The sequence below is a fragment of the Homo sapiens genome, chromosome 1 (genome assembly GCF_000001405.40).
Source record: "Homo sapiens chromosome 1, GRCh38.p14 Primary Assembly".
NCBI lineage: Eukaryota > Metazoa > Chordata > Mammalia > Primates > Hominidae > Homo > Homo sapiens.
The window spans coordinates 154,525,356-154,548,199 of NC_000001.11; the positions used below are offsets into that span (position 1 = coordinate 154,525,356).

The following is a 22,844-nucleotide window of genomic DNA, read 5'->3' on the forward strand; positions in this document are numbered from 1 at the left end:
TGGACATTTAAAAGCATTCCTATGTAAACAACACATGGGTCAAAGAAGAATTTATAAAGAAACTTAAAAACACTTAGAACTGAATAATGAGGAAAATACTACCCCTGAAAAGTTTTGGGATATAGTGAAGGCAATATTTAGAGGTTCATCCAATCTTAGATGAGCAAAGAAGAAAGGTTGAATATTAATGAGCTAAGAGTTGATTGAAGAAGTAGGTAACAACATTTTAAAATCCAAATAGGAAGTAGACATTAATGGCCAGGCACGGTGGCTAACACCTGTAATCCCAGCTCTTTAGAAGGCCAAGGTGGGCAGATAATCTGAGGTCAGGAGTTCAAGACCAGCCTAGCCAACATGGCGAAACCCCATCTCTACTAAAAAATACAAAAATTAGCTGGGCATGGTGGTGGGTGCCTGTAATCCCAGCTACTTGGGAGGCTGAGGCAGGGAGAATTGCTTGAACCCCGGAGGCGGAGGTTACAGTGAGCTGAGATTGTGCCACTGCACTCCAGCCTGGGCAACAGAGCAAGATTCCGTCTCAAAAAAAAAAAAAAAAAAAAAAAAGAGGCTGGGCGTGGTGGCTCACGCCGGTAATCCTAGCACTTTGGGAGGCTGAGGCAGGTGGATCACAAGGTCAGGAGTTTGAGACCACCCTGGCCAATATGGTGAAACCCCATCTCTAATAAAAAAAATACAAAAATTAGCCAGGCGTGGTGGCGTGCACCTGTAGTCCCAGCTACTCGGGAGGCTGAGGCAGGAAAATTGCTTGAACCTGGGAGGTGGAGGTTGCAGTGAGCCAAGATTGTGCCACTGCACTCTGGCCTGGTGACAGAGTGAGACTTCATCTCAAAAAAAAAAAAAAAAGAAACTTGACATTATTGAAATAAAAAAAAAATCTAGCCAGGCCTACAGGCACTTTGGCAGGCTGAGGTGGTAGGATCACTGGAGCCTGGGAGGTGTAGTGAGTTATGATAATGCCACTTCACTCCAGCCTGGGCAACAGAGTGAGACCCTTTCTCTAAAAACAAACAAGCAAACAAAACCCAAAACAACTTTCACAGATTTTTTTTTTTTTTTTTTTTGAGACAAAGTCTTGCTCTGTCACGTGGCTGGAGTGCAGAGGCGCGATCTGAGCTTACTGCAACCTCTGCCTCCTGGGTTCAAATGAGAGCTTACTGCAACCTCTGCCTCCTGGGTTCAAACGATTCTCCTGCCTCAGTCTCTCGAGCAGCTGGGATTACAGCCACACGCCACCACGCCCAGCTAATTTTTGTATTTTTGTAGAGACAGGGTTTCACCATGTCGGCCAGGCTGATCTCAAACTCCTGACCTTGTGATCTGCCCTTCTTGGTCTCCCAAAGTGCTGGGATTACAGGTGTGAGCCACTGCGCCTGGCCTAATTTTTGTATTTTTTGGTATGGATGGGGTTTCACCATGTTGGCCAGGCTGGTCTGCAACTCCTGACCTCAAGTAATTACCCACCTCGGCCTCCCAAAGTGCTGGGATTACAGGCGTGAGCCACCGCACCTGGCCTGAATTTTTTTTTTATTTTTTTATTATTAATTATTTTTTAGACAGAGTCTCGCTCTTGTCACCCAGGCTGGAGTGCAGTGGCACAGTCTTGGCTAACTGCAACCTCCGCCTTCTGGGTTCAAGCAATTCTCCCTGCCTCAGCCTCCCAAGTAGCTGGGATTACAGGCACCTGCCACCACGCCCGCCTAGTTTTTGTATTTTTAGCATGGACAGGATTTCGCCATGTTGGGCAGGCTGGTCTAGAACACCTGACCTTAGGTGATCCGCCTGCCTCTGCCTCCCAAAGTGCTGGGATTACAGGCATGAGCCACTGCGCCTGGCCCTGAATTTTTTTAAATATTTGTTGAGTCTGTGGATGCAGAAACCACAGATACGGAAGACCAATTGTATTGGCTTAAGGCCAGACAGTTTGACCAATAAAATATAATCGAGAACTCAAAAAGAGGCTCATTCGTACACAGAAACTATTATTCAGGTAGAGTGGTAGATCTCTGGGGAAAGGATACACACTTCAGTAAATTGAACTGGGACAATTGCTTATTCATGTAGAAAACTGTGAAACTGTATCCCTACCTTATCCCACGCACAAAAATACTAGGTGGATTATAAACTTGGCAGTGAAAGGCAAAACTTAAAAACTTTTAGAAGAAATGTAGCAGAATATCTTTACGATCTCAGTGAGGATGATCTTATCAGATGTCCTACTGGATATGATCTCAGATAGAATGAGATTTGTCAAGGCATAAAGCATCAGGTGAAAAAAAAAGATGGATAAGTTAAAATAAAGACCACCTCTTTGAAAGTTGATGTATAAAGAAAGATAAATTCAAGCCAAGAACTGGGAGAAGATATTTGCAATAATATAACTAACAAAGGATCAGGAAAGGTGTCATAGACTTTGGCCAGTGATTCAAATATGGCCTACTGCCCATTTTTATACTGCTGGCAAGCTAAAAATGTTTTTTTTAATTACACTTTTTATTTTGAGATTAATAGCAGATTCACATACAATTGTAACAACAATACAGAAAGATCTGGTATACTCTTTATCCAGTTTCTCCCCAGTGGTAACATCTTACAAAAACTATCACAACCAGGATAGTAACATTGACCCAGTCCAGATACAGAACATTTTACTTTTTGTCTTTTGTTTGTTCTATAGTTTTTGTTTCTTTGTTTTCCTGAGGCTTACTTGAACATTTTTTAGAATTCCATTTCTTGGCTGAGTGCAGTGGCTTCATGCCTGTAATCCCAGCACTTTGGGAGGCCAAGGTGAGGCCAGAAGTTCGAGAACAACCTGGTCAACATAGGGAAACCTCGTCTCTTAAAAAAAAAAAAAAAAATTTTTTTTTGAGATGGAGTCTTGCTCTGTTGCCCAGGCTGGGAGTGCAGTGGCGTGATCTTCATTCACTGGACAACCTCTGCCTCCTGGGTTCGAGATTCTCCTTCCTCAGCCTCCCTAGTAGCTGGGACTACAGGCGTGCACCACCACGCGCAGCAAATTTTTTTGTGTTTTTACTAGAGACGGGGTCTCGCCATGTTGATCAGGCTGGTCTAGAACTCCTGACCTCAGGTGATCCGCCCACCTCAGCCTCCCAAAGTGCAGGATTACAGGTGTGAGATGCTGCACCCTGCCAAAAAAAATTTTTTTAACATAAAAATAATAAATAGACCAGGGACAATGGCTCACGCCTGTAATCCCAGCACTTTGGGAGGCTGAGGCAGGCGGAGACCAGCCTGGCCAACATGGTGAAACCCTGTCTCTACTAAAACAAAAATTAGCCTGGTGTGGTGGTGCATGCCTGTAATCCCAGCTACTCGGGAAGCTGAGGCAGGAGACTCACTTGAACCCGGGAGGCAGAGGTTGCAGTGAGCTGAGATTGCACCACTGCAGGTCAGCTTGGGCTACAGAGTAAGACTCTGTCTCAAAAAAAAAGTAATAATAAAGATAAATAGAATTCCATTTTTATTTACAGTGTTAAGTGCATCTCTTTGTATACCTTTTTAAATAGTTGTGCTAGATGTTACATTATTACATTATATACACATAACTTATAGCCTACTCTTGTTGGTTTTATCAGTTTGAGTACATCTATTTACTTCCCTTTACCTTTCCCTGTTAATAATGCAGTTGTATTTGAAATTAAGTATTTACTCTATATACATTTAGATCCAAGTTGGAAAGAATTATAATGTTGTTTTTTTTTTGAGACGGAGTTTTGCTCTTGTTACCCAGGCTGGAGTGCAGTGGCACAATCTCAGCTCGCTGCAACCTCCACCTTCCAGGTTCAAGCAATTCTCCTGCCTCAGCCTCCCAAGTAGCTGGGATTACAGGCATGTGCCACCACACCCAGCTACTTTTGTATTTTTAGTAGAGACCTCGCCATGTTGGCCAGGCAGGTCTCAAACTCCTGACCTCAGGTGATCCACCCATCTCAGCCTCCCAAAGTGCTGGGATTAGTGAGCCACCATGCCTGGCTGGAAAACATTATAATTTTTGCTTCAACTGTCAAATATAACATCGAAAACTCAAGAGGAGATGGAAGATGTATTGTATTGGTTGGTGCAAAAGTGTGGTTTTTGCCATTAAAAGTAATAGCAGAAACCGCAATAATTTTTGCACCAACCTAATATTTACCCATATTTTTTCTGTGTTCATTTTTTTTTTTTTTTTGAGACGGAGTTTTGTTCCTGTTGACCAGGCTGAAGTGCAATGGCATGGTCTCAGCTCACTGCAACCTCCGCCTCCCAGGTTCAAGTGATTCTCCTGCCTCAGCCTCCCAAGTAGCTGAGATTATAGGCGCCCACCACCACACCGGCTAATTTTTGTATTTTTAGTAGATACGGGGTTTCACTATGTTGGCCAGGCTGGTCTTGAACTCCTGACCTCAGGTGATCCGCCTGTCTTGGCCTCCCAAAGTGCCGGGATTACAGGTGTGAGCTACTGCGCCCAGCTTCTTTCTTACTTTGTAATGTCCCAAAGTTCTACCTTTTATCATTTCTTTACTGTTTAGAGAACTTCCTTTGGCTGTTCTCTTAGGGTAGGTCTGCTAGTAACAAATTCTTTTCCTTCATCTGAGAATGTCTTAATTTCCCCTTCATTCCTAAAGAATATTTTTTTCTTTTCTTTTTTTTTCTGAGACAGAGTCTTCGCTCTTGTTGCCCAGGCTGGTTGGAGTGCAATGACACGATCTTGGCTCACTGCAACCTCCGCCTCCCGGGTTCAAGTGATTCTCCTGCCTCAGCCTCCCGAGGAGCTGGAATTACAGGCACCTACCACCATGCCCGGCTAATTTTTGTATTTTTCGTAGAGAGAGGGTTTCACCGTGTTGGCCAGGCTGGTCTTGAACTCCTGACCTCAGGTGATCTGCCCGCCTCGGTCTCCCAGAGTGCTGGGATTAGAGGCATGAAGTGTCTGGCCTAAAAACATTTTCATTAGATAAACAGTTTTTTTTTTCAACACTGGAAACATAATTGTACCACTTTCTTCTGGCTTCCATGGTTTCCTTCTTTTTTTTTTTTTTTTTAAGTTTTTTTCATTAAATTTTTTTTTTCTTTTGAAACAGAGGTGGGGTTTCACCATGTTGCTCAGGCTGGTCTTGAACCCCTGGACTTAAGTGATTCACCTGCCTCAGCCTCCCACAGTGCTGAGATTACCGAGCTGAGCCTCCATGGTTTCTGATGAAAAATCTGTTGTCATTCAAATGGTTTTTCTCTGCATTCAAGATTTTTGCTTGGTTTTTAGTTTTCAGAGTTTAATTGTGATATGTCTTGGCATTTCTTTGTATTTTTACTGTTGTGGGTTCACTTGCCTGTTTGAATCTAGGTTTTCTCGGTCTACTGTCTTTCTGTTGCTCAGACTGCATAATTTTTATTGCTGTGCCTTCCAGTCACCGGTTCTTTCTTCTGGGCCTCCAGTCTGTTGTAGAGTTTACCCACTGAGCTTTTTATTTTGGTTATGGTATTTTTCAGTTTAAATTTTTTTTTTTTTTTTGAGACGAGTCTCACTCTGTCACCCAGGCTGGAGTGCATTGGCACGGTCTTGGCTCAAGCGGTTCTCCTGCCTCTGCCTCCCAAGTAGCTGGGATTACAGGGACCTGCCACCACGCCCAACTAATTTTTTTGTATTTTTAGTAGAGATGGGGTTTCACCATGTTGGCCAGGCTGGTTTTGAACTCCTGACCTCAAGTGATCCGCCTGCCTCAGCCTCCCAAAGTGCTAGGATTACAGGTGTGAGCCACCACGCCTGGCCTAAAATTTCCATTTTTAAATACTGTTTTTGGCTGAGACTTGGTTCATTTGTTTTAAGGGTGCTTGTCATTGCTCCTTGAAGCATTTTGTCGTGGCTGCTTTAAAATGTTTGTCAGGTAGTGCCAGCACCAGTGTCGTCTTGGCATTGGCAGGTATTGTCTTTTTGTGTCTGGAATTGGTGGGTTCTTGGTCTCACTGACTTCAAGAATGAAGCCGCGGACCCTTGCGGTAAGTATTACAGTTCTTAAAGGCAGCATGTCCAGAGTTTGTTCCTTCTGATGTTCGGATGTGTTCAGAGTTTCTTACTTCTGGTGGGTTCGTGGTCTCGCTGGCTCACGAGTGAAGCTGCAGACCTTCGCAGTGAGTGTTACAGCTTTTAAGGCGGCACATCTGGAGTTGTTCATTCCTCCCAGTGGGTTCGCGGTCTCGCTGGCTTCAGGAGTGAAGCTTCAGACCTTCGGGGTGAGTGTTACAGCTCATAAAGGCAGTGTGGACCCGAAGAGTGAGCAGCACCAAGATTTATTGCAAAGAGCGAAAGAACAAAGCTTCCACAGTGCGTAAGGGGACCCGAGTGGGTTGCCACTGCTGGCTCGGGCAGCCTGCTTTTATTCCCTTATCTGGCCCCACCCACATCCTGCTGATTGGTCCATTTTACAGAGAGCTGATTGGTCTGTTTTGACAGGGTGCTGATTGGTGCGTTTACAATCCCTGAGCTAGACACACAAGTTCTCCACCTCACCACTAGATTAGCTAGATACAGAGTGTCGATTGGTGTATTCACAAACCCTGAGCTAGACACAGAGCGCTGATTGGTGTATTTACAATCCCTTAGCTAGTCATAAAGGTTCTCCAAGTACCCACTAGACTCAGGAACCCAGCTGGCTTCACCCAGTGGATCTCGCACCGGGGCCACAGGTGGAGCTGCCTGCCAGGCGGGTGCTGTGCGCCCACACTCCTCAGCCCTTGGGTGGTTGATAGGACCAGGTGCTGTGGAGCAGGGGGCGTTGCTCATCGGGGAGGCTCAGGCAGCGCAGGAGCCCATGGCGGGGTGGTGGGGAGACTCAGGCATGGCGGGCTGCAGGTCCCAAGCCCTGCCCTGCGGGGAGGCAGCTAAGGCCTGGTGAGAAATCAAGCGCAGCACCAGTGGGCCAGCACTGCTGCGGGACCTGGTGCACCCTCCGCAGCTGCTGGCCTGGGTGCTAAGCCCCTCACTGCCCGGGGCCGCTCTGAGTGCGGCCCGCAAAGCCCACGCCCACCCAGAACTCTAGCTGTCCTGCAAGCACCGCGCGCAGCCCTGGTTCCCACCTGTGCTTCTCCCTCCACACCTGCCTGCAAGCCGAGGGAGCCAGCTCTGGCCTCGGCCAGCCCAGAGAAGGGCTCCCACGGTGCAGCGGCGGGCTGAAGGGCTCCTCAAGCGCGGCCAGAATGGGCGCCGAGGCTGAGGAGGCACCGAGAGCGAGCGAGGGCTGCGAGGGCTGCCAGCACGCTGTCGCCTCTCATTTTTTTCATTCCATGTGAAATTTTCCTGGTTCTTGGTATGATGAGTGAGTTTCACTGGAAACTTGGACATTTTCTTGTTACGTTGCTAGACTAGATTTTGTATACACCTTGTGTTTTAACTGGCTTCCTCTGATGCTGCTCCCACAGGGGAACACGGTACTGCCTCGCTGCTGCCAGGTGAGGATGGAAGTCAGGCTCCCTACTCAGCCTCTAAGGCGGCAGCGAGCCCCTTGTTACTGCCAGTTCTAGTTTGTGGTCTCCACTGACATCTTGGCGTGGATGGCTTCATTACCGCTGAGGAAAGTCTTGACTCTCCACTACACTTCTGACACCCCCCCCAGTAGGGAGAGAGAGGGGGGCTTTCTCTCTGTGAGGTGGGTATGGAAGTCCAGGATTCCCAAGTGGTTTCTATTGACACCCAGGCAGGGTGGTGGTAGGGAGAGACCGGTTTCTTTATTGGGTAGGGGATGAAATTCCTGGCTGCCTGCTTGGCCCTTTGTGACACCATCAGGGTGGGGGTATTGGGCGACTCATCCCAGCCCCATGAGGGCAGAAGTCTGGGCCCTGCATGCTGTCTTTGTTGGCATGCGTGGAGGTGGGATCTCCTTGTTGGTGGCATTTAGCTGGAGTAAAGGAGTTATTATCTACAAGCTTTCTGTCTTCCTAGCCTGTCTCTTCTGGTGCTTTGGCTAGAAAGAGCAGGCTTTTGTTGGGTTTTTTTTTTTTTTTTTTCTGGACCTACTGGTGTTTCTGGGTTGCTGGCCTCTTCAATTCTAAGTTTGGAATATATAAAGCAAAAGGAAAACCCAGAGAAGTCATCACCACGTTGTACCCTGGGTTCCAAGGTCTCTGGTCAGCCTGTTCCCTTCTCTCCATCTTTCAGAGTCTTCTTATGTTTGTTTTACATGTAATGTCCTGGGCTCTTAGTTGTGTTTAACAAAACTAAGATGAAGTATGTATATTTCATCTTCTCAGAGTGGAGGTTCTAAGAATGGTTTTTATTTATTTATATTTTTAGAGCAGGGTCTTGCTCTGTTGCCCAGACTGGAGTGCAGTGGTGTGATCTGAACTTACTGCAGCCTCGAACTCCTGGGCTCAAGCAGTCCTGCCTCAGCCTCGTGAGTAGCTGGGACTACAGGCGTGTACCACCATGCCCAGCTGATTTGGCCTCAAGCAATCCTCCTGCTTTAGCCTCCCAAAGTGCTGGGATTGCAGGGCAGCCACTGTGCCCAGCCATATATATATATATATATATTTTTTTTTAATTTTCTATTGTTTGTAGAGATGGGGTCCCACTATGTTGCCCAAGCTGGTCTTGAACTCCTGGCAAGCAATCCTCGTGTCTCCACTTCCCAAACTGCTGGGATTATAGGCGTGAGACCCCCCAGCCGTATTTTTAAATGGGAAAAAAAATGAAGAATATTTCATGACACATGAAAATTGTATGAAATTCAGTTTGTGTCCATGAAACATTCCTGGCATGCAGCCTCAGCCATTTGTTTACAGATTGCCTGTGGCTGCTTCCTCACTACAGCAGCAGAGTGGACTCATGACAGACAGTAAGGCCCCCAAAATCTAAAATATTTACTATCTGGCCCTTTGCAGAAAAAGTTTGCCAGTTCCTGGGTTAAGATCTAGGCTATTTTTTAAAAAACAAAAATAAACAGGATGAAAATGCCTGGAAATCAATGCAAGAAAGAAACAACCTAATAGAAAAATGGGCAAGAGCTAGGAATAGGCACCTTTTGTAGGTGAAGATGCATAAAAGCCAGGCTGCAACTTTCCCGTTGCTTACCACGAGGTGGCAGTTTCTGACAACACCTGGTGGTTTTCCATAGCCTGCTCCGATCAAGTCAGCCACCTTTGATGCTCCTGGTTTCCATGGCTTTGCCCATCCTGGTAGAACTATCCGCTGAAGGAGTGGGGAGTGGGGAAGCCCCAGATGCTCACTGTTTTCGTACAAAGGTCAGTCGTTGTTGTTATTGTTTTCTTTTTAATAGATGTTTTCAATTTCTTGTATGCTTCAGTCAATTTCCAGAGTCCTGAAGTGATTGTTTTTGACAATTTGTCAAGATTTGTTATTGCTTTTTGGGGAGAGGATTTGTTGATTGAAATATTTTGTAGTGAAATTGTTTTAAAGAAAAGAAAAGGTAAAATTAGAAGATAAGCTTACGTGGCACAACACGCATCCAGGCAGTGTTCAGGTCAGCGTGGGGGAGAGATTATCAAATGATATAAGATAATTTCCCATGGGTGAAGGATGTGAGTTTTCAGATACAAAGCAGCCAATGAGTGCCCAGGATAATGAATGGGAAAATAAAAACCTACATGAAGGCACTTTACAGAAGTATTTTAGAATACTAGGGATAAAGCTTTAGGAAGAGAATCCACATTGAAGGATATGGAATCAGGTGGTGTGATTGAATTCTTCAGGAAAATAATATCCAAGCCCAAACAAGTCAGTCAAGAATAAGGGTAGCACTTTGGGAGGCCGAGGTGGGCGGATCACTTGAAGTCAGGAGTTTGAGACCAGCCTGGCTAACATGGTGAAACTCCATCTCTATTAAAAATACAAAAATTAGCCAAGCGTGGTGGTGCACACCTGTAATTCCAGCTACTCGGGAGGCTGAGGCAGGAGAATCCCTGGAACCTGGGAGGCAGAGGTTGCAGTGAGCTGAGATCATGCCACTGCACTCCAGCCTGGGCATCAGAGTGAGACTCCATCTCAAGAAAAAAAAAAAAAGAGAGAGAGAATATAAGGGTAAGCCATCTGCAGTGGTGTGTACCTGTAATCCCAGTGCTTTGGAATTTGGGATTTGGGAAGCTGAGGTGGGAGGATTGCTTCAGGCCAGGAGTTTGAGAACATCCTGGGCAACCCTGTCGACAAAAAATGTGCCGGGTGTGGTGGCACACACATGTAGTCCCAGCTACTGGTGAGGCTGAGATGGGAGGATCACTTGACCTGAAGGAGTTTGAGGTTGCAGTGAGCTATGATTGTGCCAGCACTCCAGCCTGGGTAACAAAGTAAGACACTGTCACTTTTAAAAAAAGGTTGAAAAAGACTTGCTCAGAAAGATAGGGTCTCAAAAAATGTGTGCCCCATGTACCTGTTCTCAGAAAGCTATGAAGGAGTGTGTTCCAACAAAAATGAATCAGTAAGCCAAAACAAGACGGGATCTGGTATCCAACCCAGATCCAAGAGGAGAGAGATGAGAGGCTTCCCAGATTGGCCAAAGGCAGTCCTGGAACAGTTGCTGTGCAGCAGGCAGTCCAGGGCAGAGCAGGACGGGGTGAGACTCCAGCGGTGACGTTGGCAGGAAGAAAAATGTAAAATTGAGAGGAGCGGTATTATGAAGAGCCACTGGAGGTTATAGGAAAACTTAGCCAAAGATTCAAGGAAATCCAAGTAAATGGACTGGGGAAAAAGCAGCAGTTAATTCCTAAGAAAAGGTTGCAGGCCGGGCGCAGTGGCTCACGCCTGTAATCCCAGCACTTTGGGAGGCCGAGGTGGGTGGATCATGAGGTCAGGTGTTCGAGACCAGCCTGGCCAACATGGTGAAACCCCGTCTCTACTAAAAATACAAAAATTAGCTGGGCGTGGTGGCACATGCCTGTAATCCTAGCTACTCAGGAGGGTGAGGCAGGAGATTTGCTTGAACTTGGGAGGCAGAGGTTGCGGTGAGCTGAGATTGTGCCGTTGCACTCCAGCCTGGACAACAAGAGCGAAACTCCATCTTAACAAAGTTGCTTAAGAATAAAAATAACACATAACTTGATTCAATAGGATTTGCAGTCACATAATAATGAGAACACTGGAGGCTTTGAGCAGGGGGTGACATAGCCAGATAGAACCCATTCTTATATTTTAGAAAATCAACTTTGTTGAAGTATTCGATATACTTACTGAAGTATAATTTACTTAAAGTGAACCCATTTAAGTGTACAGCTTGACGAATTTTGACCAGTGCGTGCAGCATGTAACCACTGTCACAATCAAGATAGAGAACATTTCAGTCGCCCAAAAGATTCCCCCTTCAGGGCCCCCAGCAGCCCTCAGCTGTTGTCCATCCTTTCGATGAGATGGAGCTTTTCCAGCGTGTCCTGTAAATGGCATCAGGCTGTGCGTGCTTCTTTGTGTCTGGCTTCTTTCATTCAGTGGAATGTTATTGAGATGCATCCATGTGGTTGCACCATCAGCAGTTCTTTTTTTATTGCCAAGTGATATTCTGTTGTATCATGTGCCACCATTTATTCGTCCTTGCACCTAGATTTAACTTTTAAAGGGACCCTTTAGAACCCACTGGAGGAGGCCAGAATGGAGGCAGGAAGACCTGTTTCTGGCAGTCCGGGGAAGAGATGAAAATATCTTGTCACACCAGCCCTGGGGCGGCCCCCCAGACAAGCCAAGTACATCCCCACCTTAGGGCCTCTGGACCTACTATTGTCAGCCCAGAAGGCTCTTCTCCCAGGTGTCTATAGGGTTTGCTGTCTCCCTTCATTCCGGGCTCCACTCAGCAGTCACCACCTCAGGAGGACTTTCCATGAGACAGCACCCACCCCTGGCACCCTTCATCCCCTGTCTCTGACGTTTGTCTCTTCATCCCTCTTGCTGCCAGCCAAAGACATTATTCCTCTTTGTATACTTATTTAGTGTCTGCTGCCCCCACCAGAACGTGAGCTTTGTGGTGGCGTTTTATATTTGTGGGTGACTAAAGGGGGGCTCCCTGAGGAGCCCACGCAGAGGTCTTTGTCTTTCATCTTTGTCTTTTTGTGTCTAGCACATAGAAGTGCAAGTGATTAAAGAATGAGAAGGAAGCAGTTGAGGTTGAAGCTGCACATGCAAAATTTCCACCAGGATGGGCCCCTCAGGTGTTCCCAGGTGCAGTTCCCCAGGTTGGTGGAGGTGAGGGTGGGTGTAGACAGCGCTTAAAGAGAGATGGCCCAGGGTTGTGGCAGCGAGCAGACTTGGAGGCTGCAGGTTGGGACACTGCCTGTGTTCTGGGTGTCATGAGGCTGTACCCTGCTGAGTGTATGCAAGAACTTCTCCCTGGTGTGTGGAGGGGACTGGATGGATGGTCCCACCTCCAAGCCTTCTGGCCACCAACCTTTGTATTTTTGTTTCTCCTCTCCCACTGCACGGACTCCCCAGCATCACTCTGGAGCAGGCGCACCTCTTAGAACACTTGACCACCTGGTAGAAATGTCCCAGAACAAAGTAAAGGGATAATTAAGAGCTGTTGATTGATCTGGGCATGAGGGTGACCATGCTTGTAGCAACAATGGAACTTAATTAAAATTAACTGCTCTTGCAGCTATTGAGGTGCTGCCTTGATGTCTGTGGCTTCCGTGTGGCCACCTTTGTATTACAGACACGTCGGAAATTGGAGGTCTGTGTTTAGGTGATGTGCCTGCTGTGGCTGTTGGATGATAATTATGTAGATTTTCCTCTGGAACTTAATTTTACAAACTGTCAAAACGGGCTTGTTATATTTATCACTTAAATCATTAGGGAATAATAATTAGACCAAAAATGATGTGAAATGCTTCTGTATTAATAATCATTTTTAGCTTGAAACCACTAGTGATAATTGGTTTGTGGGGTTGGTATTTAGAACTGCCTTAGGAGAGGCCAGGCACCGTGGCTCACGCCTGTAATCCCAGCACTTTGGGAGGCCGAGGTGGGCGGATCACCTGAGGTCAGGAGTTCGAGATCAGCCTGACAACCAAGGGGAAACCCGGTCTCTACTAAATACACAAAAAATTAGCTGGGTATGGTGGCGCATGCCTGTAATCCCAGCTACTCAGGAGGCTGAGATAGGAGAATCGCTTGAACCTGGGAGGTAGAGGTTGCGGTGAGCCGAGATCATGCCATTGCACTCCAGCCTGGGCAACAAGAGCGAAACTCTATCTCAAAAAAAAAAAAAAAAAAAAAGGCCAGGCGCGGTGGCTCATGCCTGTAATCCCAGCACTTTGGGAGGCTGAGGCGGGCGGATCATGAGGTCAGGAGATGGAGACCATCCTGACTAACACGGTGAAACCCCATCTCTACTAAAAATACAAAAAATTAGCCGGGTATAGTGGTGGGCACCTGTAGTCTGAGCTACTCGGGAGGCTGAGGCAGGAGAATGGTATGAACCTGGGAGGCAGAGCTTGCAGTGAGCCTAGATTGCATCACTGCACTCCAGCCTGGGTGACGGAGCGAGACTCCATCTCACGGTGCTTTGTTATGGGTAAAGAAGAGAGGCAGAACGTGGTTGGTTTAGCGAGGAAAGGTTCAATTTGGGTCTCATTGATTGACAGCAGTAGTTAACTTGCACTGAGGACTCACTCTCTAATTGTTTTACCGTATGAACTCATTTAATTACAGCAGTAGGTGCTGTTAACTCTCCTGTTCTGCAGATGTGAACACCAAGTAACTCACCCAGACTTAAGCAGCCAATCTCCCAACCAGGATTGGGGTCCAGACAGCCTGACTCTTGAATCCGCACTTGTAACTGCTGTGTTGTGCTGCTTCTGTTTCTTAGTACCAACTGCATGTCATTGTCCTGAGCCCAACTAAATCCTCACATCAAGACAGGTGGGATTCCTGGTGTAGAAGAGGAAACCAAGATTTAGAGAGTGAAGAATTTGCCCTAGGTCATTTCTTTCTTTCTTGTCTCTCTTTTCTTTTTTCTTTTTTTTAAACAGAGTCTCACTTTGTCACCCAGGCTGGAGTGCAATGGCACAATCTCGGCTCACTGCAACCTCCGCCTCCCCGGGTTCAAGCAATCCTCCTGTCTCAGCCTCCCTAGTAGCTTGGATTACAGGCACCCGCCACCACGGCCAGCTAATTTTTTGTATTTTTAGTAGAGACAGAGTTTTTCCATGTTAGCCAGGCTGGTCAGGCTGGTCTTGAACTCCTGGCCTCATGTGATCTGCCCACCTAGGCCTCCCAAAGTGCTGGGATTACAGGCGTGAGCCGCAGTACCCAGCCCCTAGGTCATTTCTTATTTGATTCTTTCATTCAGCACATATTTACTGAGAGCTTAATATGCACCAGGCATTTCCTAGGCCCTGGTGTTACCTCCACGATCAAGGTAATTGTTGAAAGACACTTGTCATTCTTGTTCTTGTGATGTTTACATTCCAGTGGTAAAAGAGACAAACAAGAAAATACCAGATAATGAGTAGCAGCCGGAGAACTAAAATATGATGATGTGATGAAGAGTGAGAGGTCACTTCTTTAGATGGTTCTTAGGGGGGCCCCCAATGCCAGCTCAGAGCCAGCCACTTGGAAGACCAGACTAAGAACATTCCAGGCAGAGGGAGGCCTGCAAGTGGCCCAAGGTATGAGCCTGGTGGGTGAAGGGGAGGGGAGTAGGCAGAGAGGTCACTGGGAAGGGGCATCCATTGGTACAGCCTTGAGAGCCAAGGTCAAGACTTTGGGTTTTATTTGTAAGCACGATGGGGAGATGTTGGAAGATTTTAACCAGTGATGTCATGTGATCTACTTTTTGTTTGAAAAAGATCACAGTCCTCAGGTGATTGGATTGTGGGGGCAGGTGCCACAGCAGGGCTCCCTGTTTGCTGTCACTGTTATTCTGGTAAGAGATGGTGAGTACTGGGGTGGTGGGTATGGACACAGAGAAAAATGTTCATGGGCTCGGGTGTGTCTTGGAGGAGGAGGTAGCTTGGCTTGCTGATGAATTTGACGTAGGGAGCTTGGGAGAGAGAACTTGGGTGAACTGCTCTGTAGGTAGTGATGCGGTAGGCTGAGCACAGTGGCTCATGCCTGGAATCCCAGCACTCTGGAAGGCTGAGGGAGGCGGATTGCTTGAGCCCAGGAGTTCAAGACCAGCCTGGGCAACATGGTGAAACCCCATCTCTACAAAAAAAAAAAAAAAAAAAAAAATGCCGTTCACTCAAATGGAGAAAGCTAGGCTGGGGAGGGTCTGCTTTATTTGTTCATGATTGCAGGCTCCTTGGGCGGGTCTGTTGCAGACATGCTAAGTCTGTGTACCTCTTCACTGTCCTGTCAAGTGGACATCACATGTGAGTGGAATTCCAGAGAATGATGAGGGCTGGGGCTGCAGCTTTGAGAGTCCGTGGTACATTGTTGATACCTAAAACCGTTGCACTGGAGATGGCCTTGGAGAGAAGGTGGATGGGGAGAGGACAAGTCCTGGGATGTGCCAGTGTTGAGCAGTTGAACTGAGAAGGCCAGCCAGGGAAAGAGAAGGAGAACCAGATACATGTGATGCCAAGAGATGCGTTTCTGCAAAGAGGGAGCAGAGGGAATACTGCAGGTGGATTCAGAACAGGGGAGTGACCATTGGATTTGGCAGTGTGACTGTTCATGCTGACTTTTGCAGGGCCATTTTGGGGAAGCCTGAGAGGAGATGTGAGTGTGGAGGTAAACAGCACAGAGACCGTGAAACTGTGGAGTTGCAGTGAGAGGAGCACAGAAGCAGGAATTGGGGGAGCTGTGAGGTCAGTCAGAGTCTTTCCAAATGGGTGTCAGAGCCTGCTTGTTTCCTGTGGAAAAGGCTCACACGGGAGGGAGACAGTGCTGGAGGAGCAGCAGGGTGGGTCTGCAGGGTGAGGGCTTGAGCCAGAGCGGGAGGGAGCAGGTCCATGCAGGGGAGGGATGGCGGGGAGGGCAGGAGCGGGAGAGGGGTTGGTGGTGGGGGTTGGGAGAAGAGGGAGTCCTGTCTCATTGCTTCCTGTTTGCCCTCTGATGAAGAGGCAAGTTAATGGGCAGGGGTTGTGGGCGTTTTGAAGAAAGGAGAGGACGTGAGGTCCTTTGGAGAGAAGGAAAGTCAAGGTGCGTGGGTGGTGGTGGTAGGATGGAAAGGCCTGGATGCAGGGCAGTGGGAAGGGGGATAGATACTTGGGTTTCCCCAGGGTTGGGGGTTTTTCAGGTGAGAACAGTGGAGAGAGGGAGACCAGCATGGGTTGGGGGCTGCAGGGCTGTGGGGAGTGGCAGGGCACCCAGGCTTTTCTGTCCCCACCCAGCCCTGCACCAGGTGACCGCTACTACTTCTTTTCCTCCCTGCAGGTAGTGCCAGCAGGGCACCAGGATAAGCGTTCTGGTGGTGCTTTCTGCCCCTGTCTGGGGAAGGCTGCTGGGCAGCTCATTCTGTGACTGTAGCTCCAGATGAGTGCTCCCTGGCAGCAGCCCTGCTCCCTGCCTTCCCTGCTTCTGATCGTCTTTTCTTTGGGTTGGCTCAGGATGCCGTGAGGATGGAGAGAGTGGACGGATGTCTCAAAAGTCAGCTCTAAAGTCGGAGTCAGAACAGGGGCTGCCGATGCTCTGTCTCCCAGTCTACCTGGAGTGATTCAACATAGAAATCAATAAAACAAATGCCACCATGGCTGAGTGAGACCTTTCATTTTTCTTCCCAGGTGTTGGAGAAGGCTTCTGGTGAAGGATTTGGCAAAACCGCCGGTGAGATTCTGCGCTGCCATCCTTTCCCAGGATGTGGCTTTGCAGCTCCTAATGGACCTCTTCCAGCCCCTTCTGCAGCCTCCCTTCCAGCTCAGTCCCCTGATGACCCTTAGTGTAGAAATATCCCTTTTCCCTTTCTTCCTCTAGGATGCTTGCTTGCTTGCTTTCATTTTTTCTTTGAGACAAGATCTTCCTCTGTCACCCAGGTTATAGTGCAGTGGCATGGTCATAGCTCACTGCAGCCTCAAACTCCTGGGCTCAAGCCATCCTCCCTCCTCAGCCTCCACAGTAGCTAGGACTATAGGTGTGCATCGCCATGCCTGGCTAATTGTTAAAATTTTTTGTGAGATGGAGTCTTGCTGTGTTGCCTAGGCTGGTCTTAAACTCCTTGCCTTAAGTGATCCTTCCACCTCAGCCTCCCAAAGTGCTGGGATTACAGGTGCAAGCCACCATACCCAGCCCTAGGATGCTTTCTTAAAGAATATCATCCGACTGACCCTTCCCGCCCAGATGAGAATCTAGAGACTGAGAAGTTGGAGGGTGCAGCTTCTTGGCCCATTTTATGCTTCCTTGGAGGGCAGGGCCAAGGCCTCTTGTGGGTTAGGGGAGCAATTCCTCTCTGGGTAGTTCTGGTGCCTCCAGGACTTAGTCTTCTGCTTTCTAGCTATTATACAGCTCGCTCCTAAAGCTCCTGTTGACCTGTGTGAGACAGAGAAACTGAGGGCAGCCTTCTTTGCAGTCCCGTTGGAAATGAGGTGAGCAAGGTATAGAAAGACCACCAGGGCAAATGGCGATTACAGACATCCTCTGTCCCCCAGAGAGTGGGGACAAGGATAGTACTGGGGTGGGGGATAGTTTTCGGGAACTCCTGTGTCAGACCCAGGCTGTAAGGCTGTGACCCACACTGACTTATAAAATCAGCTTCCCAGCCGGGGGCAGTGACTCATGCCTGTAATCCCAGCACTTTGGGAGGCCAAAGTGGGTGGATCACTTGAGGTCAGGAGTTCAAGACCAGCCTGGCCAACATGGCGAAACCCCATCTCTACTAAAAATAAAAAATTAGCCGGGCATGGTGGTGGGCATCTGTAGTCCCAGCTACTTGGGAGGCTGAGGCAGGAGAATCACTTGAACCCAGGAGGCAGAGGTTGCAGTGAGCCGAGATTGTGCCACTGCAGTCCAGCCTGAGTGACAGAGTGAGACTCCATCTCAAAATAAATAAATAAATAAAACAAAATGATAAAATCAGCTTCCACTTATGTACAGCAAAGGCCTGTGACCGTCCCCTGCCCTGGATGCCATGAGATCATCATGCCCACCATGTCCCCTGCTTTGCTTTAACAGCGGATACCGTTCTTAATGTCAAGAGTGCCAGAATACTCAGTTTGACTTGAAATGCTGTAGGGTGTCATTAGCCCCGTGTGGTTTAGGCAGGTAATTGAGTTAGTGGAGCAGCAGGGTGACATTTGGAATGTGCGTAGACGCAGGGGAGGAGCAGCTTTGGGATGGAAGGCATATCCTGCATGGTGGACAGTCCACACCTGCATCATTTAGAGGCTCGTGAATCACTTAGGAGGCCCCAAATCTACCCATTGAGGACTTTTATCCACCTCTCTCGGAGTTTCTCAGTGTGTTTTTGTTTCCCTCTGCTGCTTCCTTTTCCTGAACTCTTCAACCCCTACGCCCCCAGAATGGCCCTTCCTTTCCTCTGCCGTGGACTGGGATTACTTGGGAACTGGCTTTAGCTCCCACCCTAGAGGGGGTGGGCACAGCCTTTCTGCTTAGGGGACTCATCCCCCAGGCAGTTCAGCCTCCTGCAGGACAGGCGTTGGTCCAGTCGTTCCTTTCCTTGCGTTGGTCCAGTCGTTCCTTTCCTTGCTCCCCTTGCTCTTCCCGCAGAGGGTCCTTCCTGGTGCTGCTCCTGAGGGAATGCTTCCGAGACCTGAGCTGGCTGGCACTCATCCATAGCGTCCGTGGGGAGGCGGGGCTGCTGGTGACGAGTATCGTCCCGAAGACCCCGTTTTTCTGGGCTATGCACGTCACTGAGGTATGGACTGGTTGTTGGCCCCCTCAGGCTCCTGTGCCTTCCTGCGTGGCCTCCCTAGGGTGGGCATGGTGACGGGGCCGGTCAGTGGTGGAGATGCAGGGTAACTACGGTCTGATCCTGGGTTCAGTCTCGTTCTCTCTCCCACCTCATACCTGATGGCCTTGGGACGGATTAGCGGTGCTAACATAACAGGTGACGTCTACGGAGGCAGATTTGTAATGCAGTGCAGGCAGTGGGGCCGTTGCGTTTTGCACCCCACAGGCTCTGCACCAGAACATGCAGGCTCTGTTTAGCACCCTGGCTCAGGCGGAGGAGCAGCAGCCCTACCTGGAGGGCTCCACCGTTATGCGCGGGACTCGCTGTCTGGCAGAGTACCACCTGGGGGATTATGGACACGCCTGGAACAGGTGTGTGCCTGGGCAGGGGTAGAGTCTATGGGAGAGGCGTGCAGGGAAAATGCTCCCTTCTTGCATTCTCTTCCTTTGGGCTCTGGTTTTTTTTCCTGTGGCTTCTTCTCTCAAAATCATCTTTATCCTTATTTCCTCACTCAAGGATTGGGGAGAAACAGAGCAAACTCGCTCTTCCTCCCTCCTACCTCCACTTTCACATCCACTTTGTTGAGGACTGCTGTGCATGGCACTAGGCGGAATGATTGTCCTCTGTCTTTCTCTTTTCCTCTGCCAGGTGTTGGGTGCTGGACAGGGTGGACACCTGGGCTGTGGTCATGTTCATTGATTTTGGACAGTTGGCCACCATCCCTGTGCAGTCTCTGCGCAGCCTAGACAGCGACGACTTCTGGACCATCCCACCCCTGACTCAGCCATTCATGCTGGAGAAAGGTGAGACATCTTCTATCTTCCTCCCAAGGGTTTCAGGGACAGGAGAAGCCATGGTTGCTTCTGGGACCTGAACAGGAAGCAGCATAGTGGGCGGCCAAGGTGCTTCAGTCTCTCTTTCCACCCAACCCCAGTTTTCAGCATATGACCCCTGCAAAGCTGCCTCTCAAGTGTTGGTTTTCATGCCTGGGATCTGGAGCCCAAGATCCCAACAGGGACCTCAGATGCTGCCCAAAGGCTGAGTTCTCTGGAAGGGGAGAGAAGAGGGCAGATTTCCCACCCCTGCTTCCACCAGAGCTGCTCAGCTTTCATCTGTTTTACATACTTGGCGTGTTGCTTCAGATTTCACTGGAAAAAGATTCTGCCATAGAAGAAAACTAGCACTCGAATGCCAGTGCTAGACGCCAGAGCACAGCACTTAGCACTGCACTCTCCTAATGTGATTCATTTAGCTTCAGACACCTGTGGGTTTCTCCATAGGTGGAAATGAAGAGGCCCCTTCTCAAGATCGAAGTTAGGTGAAATGTAAAAGGATGAAAGAATGTTTTAGGGGGCAGTCAGGAGAAGTGGAGGTGAAGAAGCATACATACACATACACAGGAAGTAAGATGGAAAAGTTTTATTTAAAAAATTTCTTTTTTTTTCAGAGGCAGGGTCTCACTCTGTTGCCCATGCTGGAGTGCAGTGGCATAATCATAACTCATAGCAGCCTCAAACTCCTTGGCTCAAGCAATCCTTCCACCTTGGCCTCTCAAAGTGCTGGGATGACAGGCATGAGCTGCCGCGCTTAGCTGAGATGGAAACGTTTTATAGACAAACTAAGTCTTTTTTTTTTTTTTTTTGAGATGGAGTCTCGTTCTGTCACCCAGGCTGGAGTGCAGAGGCGCAATCTCGGCTCACTGCAACCTCCGCCTCCCAAGTTCACATAATTCTCCCGCCTCAGCCTCCCAATTACAGGCACGCACCACCACACCCAGCTAATTTTTTTTTTTTTTTTTTTTTTTTTTTAGTAGAGATGGGGTTTCACTATGTTGTCCAGACTGGTCTCGAACTCCTGACCTCGTGATCCGCCCACCTCGGCCTCCCAAAGTGCTGGGATTACAGCTGTGAGCCACCGTGCCCGGCCCTCAGACAAACTAAGTCTTGAGATGGAGTCTTGCTCTGTCGCCCAGGCTGGAGTGCAGTGGCGTGATCTCAGCTCACTGCAACTTCTGCCTCCTGGGATCAAGCGATTCTCCTGCCTCGGCCTCCTGGGTAGCTGAGATTACAGGCATGTGCTACTACGCCTGGCTAATTTTTATATTTTTAATAGTGACGGGGTTTCACTGTGTTGGTCAGGCTGGTCTCGAACTCCTGACCTCGTGATCTGCCCTCCTCGGCCTCCCAAAGTGTTGGGATTACAGGTGCGAGCCACCGCACCCGGCCAAAATATATATATATATAAAATATATGTATAATGTAATTTATATATTACGTATATATTATATATATCACGTAATATATATTATATATTATGTAACATATATAATATATAATACGTGATATATATAATATATATATTTAAAGATGGAAAGGCATCTCCCAATTGTGCAGGGCCAAGGCTTCCTGGGAGGCTGGTGGGGCTTGTGCCCAGTGGGCAGGGAGCACCACCCAGAGGTTGTCTTGGGTCATTGCATGAAGAGGGTCCCTGCTGCCCAGGCTGGGAACAGCCAGGCATCAGGAGCTTCTTCAGGTGACCCAGGGAAGAGGAGCTTCCTGTTTCAAAGTGCAGCTCCCAGCCTGTCAGAAGGGCCAGAGTCCCCAACCCAGAGATAAGTCAGACAAGCGTCAGTTTTCCTCCCTTTATGGATGAGGAAAATACAGCTCAGAAAAGTGAAATGAACTCATACTTAATAGCAAGAAAATGGCATAGCTGGGGATGAAACCTAGGTCTGACTCTTAGTGATTCAGTGTCATACATACAAACAGTCCCAGAGTTTGGGGACTCTGGTGGGATGGTGGGAGTTGCGTGAGGGACGACATCCTGGGGAAAGGTGGGTTTTTGATGAGCTCCCTGCCTGGTTCCAGCATGTAAGAGTGCTTGCGTCTCATGGTGAAAACCTCTCTGGTTTTAACCTTCTTCTATCCAGCCGGAACTCTCAGAGCAGAGTTCAGTGAACGTGATTTTCTGTCCCCAGTAGAATTTCTCATTAAAAATCCCAGATCCCTGTAATTATTTTAACAAGTGCCTCCTCCCTTTATCTGCTGTTATTTTGCCCTCCCCCTATGCTACCTTTTCAGCATTTATCATCTCATTTGATCCTGGCAGCAGGGATTTAGCAGGAACTAGCAGAGACTTGCTGGTTGGAGCTGGTTGGCGGCCAGAGCACTTTCCCTGCAGCCCCCGCCTTTTGCTTCCCTCCTTTGCTCCTCCTGCCCAACCCCGTGCCACTGAGGTTTTGTTGTTGTGTCTTGTTTTGCAGACATTTTGAGTTCGTATGAGGTTGTCCATCGAATCCTCAAAGGGAAAATCACTGGTGCTTTGAACTCGGCGGTAACTGCTCCTGCATCTAACTTGGCTGTTGTCCCTCCACTCCTGCCCTTGGGGTGTCTGCAGCAGGCTGCTGCCTAGGCCTGGACACAGTATTTACCTGGCATTCTTTTAGATCAAACGAACTGGTTATCTGAGGGGTTGGGTGAACTGGCTCGGGTGGGCCTTCCTTCCCACCAAGGCTTTGTCTTTCTCTTCCAGTTGCACATCCTAAAGTTTGAAGAGTCTAAATAACGGGGCTTCCCTCAGCATGTTCCCTCTCCTGTTTGCCACGGATCCAGAGGCCACCTGCCCTGTCTTCTCGTACCCCTTTCACTCTTGAGGCCTGGGAGGTGAAAAAGGCCAGACTGTGCCCAGGATTGATTCAATTTTGCTTTTACTCCCAGCTTCCCTCTCAAAAGAGAGTGAAGTCTCATTTGTCATGTGTCTTCAGTTCCCCAACTTGGCATGAACATTTGAACCAAACATAGGAAACTACCATTAGGTTGAAAGCCTGAGGCAGCTGGGATGGTCTTTCTTGTGTCTCTTCTTTGCACCCCAGAGCATGATATAAGTGGTCCTAACAGATTCTGGATAATGGAGAAGCCCTCTGCTGGTTTTCCTGGCATTCCATGTAGAATAGGTAGAGAATATTTAACCAATGAGCAAATAAATGTTGGCATGTTTCATGAGTTTGGAGTGATTGATACTTCTTTCCAGCCACCCTTCCACTGCCCTGCCGTG

At 48.3% G+C, this 22,844-nt stretch overlaps 1 protein-coding gene across 17 annotated transcripts in view, besides 2 other annotated features; it reads left to right on the forward strand.

Annotated features, from left to right (window-relative positions):
* The window catches only part of TDRD10 (tudor domain containing 10), a 45,929-nt gene extending 23,137 nt beyond the window's left edge, over positions 1–22,792 (forward strand). For 4 of the 17 annotated variants that reach the window (XM_011509152.3, XM_011509156.3, XM_011509154.3 and 1 more), the window contains 6 exons: positions 16,669–16,711; positions 17,376–17,466; positions 18,608–18,755; positions 19,017–19,162; positions 19,440–19,594; positions 22,054–22,792. In XM_011509152.3, the coding sequence (XP_011507454.1) occupies positions 16,669–16,711; positions 17,376–17,466; positions 18,608–18,755; positions 19,017–19,162; positions 19,440–19,594; positions 22,054–22,202 (732 nt within the window). In that variant the 3' untranslated portion in view covers positions 22,203–22,792. Of the gene's footprint in view, positions 1–7,482; positions 7,659–7,695; positions 7,880–9,122; positions 9,250–14,413; positions 14,611–14,636; positions 14,878–15,635; positions 15,754–16,494; positions 16,638–16,668; positions 16,712–17,375; positions 17,467–18,607; positions 18,756–19,016; positions 19,163–19,439; positions 19,595–22,053 lie in introns of those variants that run through there. The other 13 variants (XM_011509155.3, XM_011509157.3, NM_182499.4 and 10 more) reach the window with 11 other exon arrangements.
* Positions 21,078–21,372: a silencer, noted in NCBI's record as "tiled region #5559; K562 Repressive DNase matched - State 12:CtcfO". NCBI's record gives its function as "represses a minimal TATA promoter and a strong SV40 promoter by Sharpr-MPRA in K562 cells {active_cell/tissue: K562}" and the evidence as "EXISTENCE:reporter gene assay evidence [ECO:0000049][PMID:27701403]".
* Positions 21,456–21,545: an enhancer, noted in NCBI's record as "active region_1779". NCBI's record gives its function as "activates an Ori minimal core promoter by ATAC-STARR-seq in GM12878 lymphoblastoid cells {active_cell/tissue: GM12878}" and the evidence as "EXISTENCE:reporter gene assay evidence [ECO:0000049][PMID:35858748]".
* Positions 22,793–22,844: the final 52 nt, after the last annotated feature.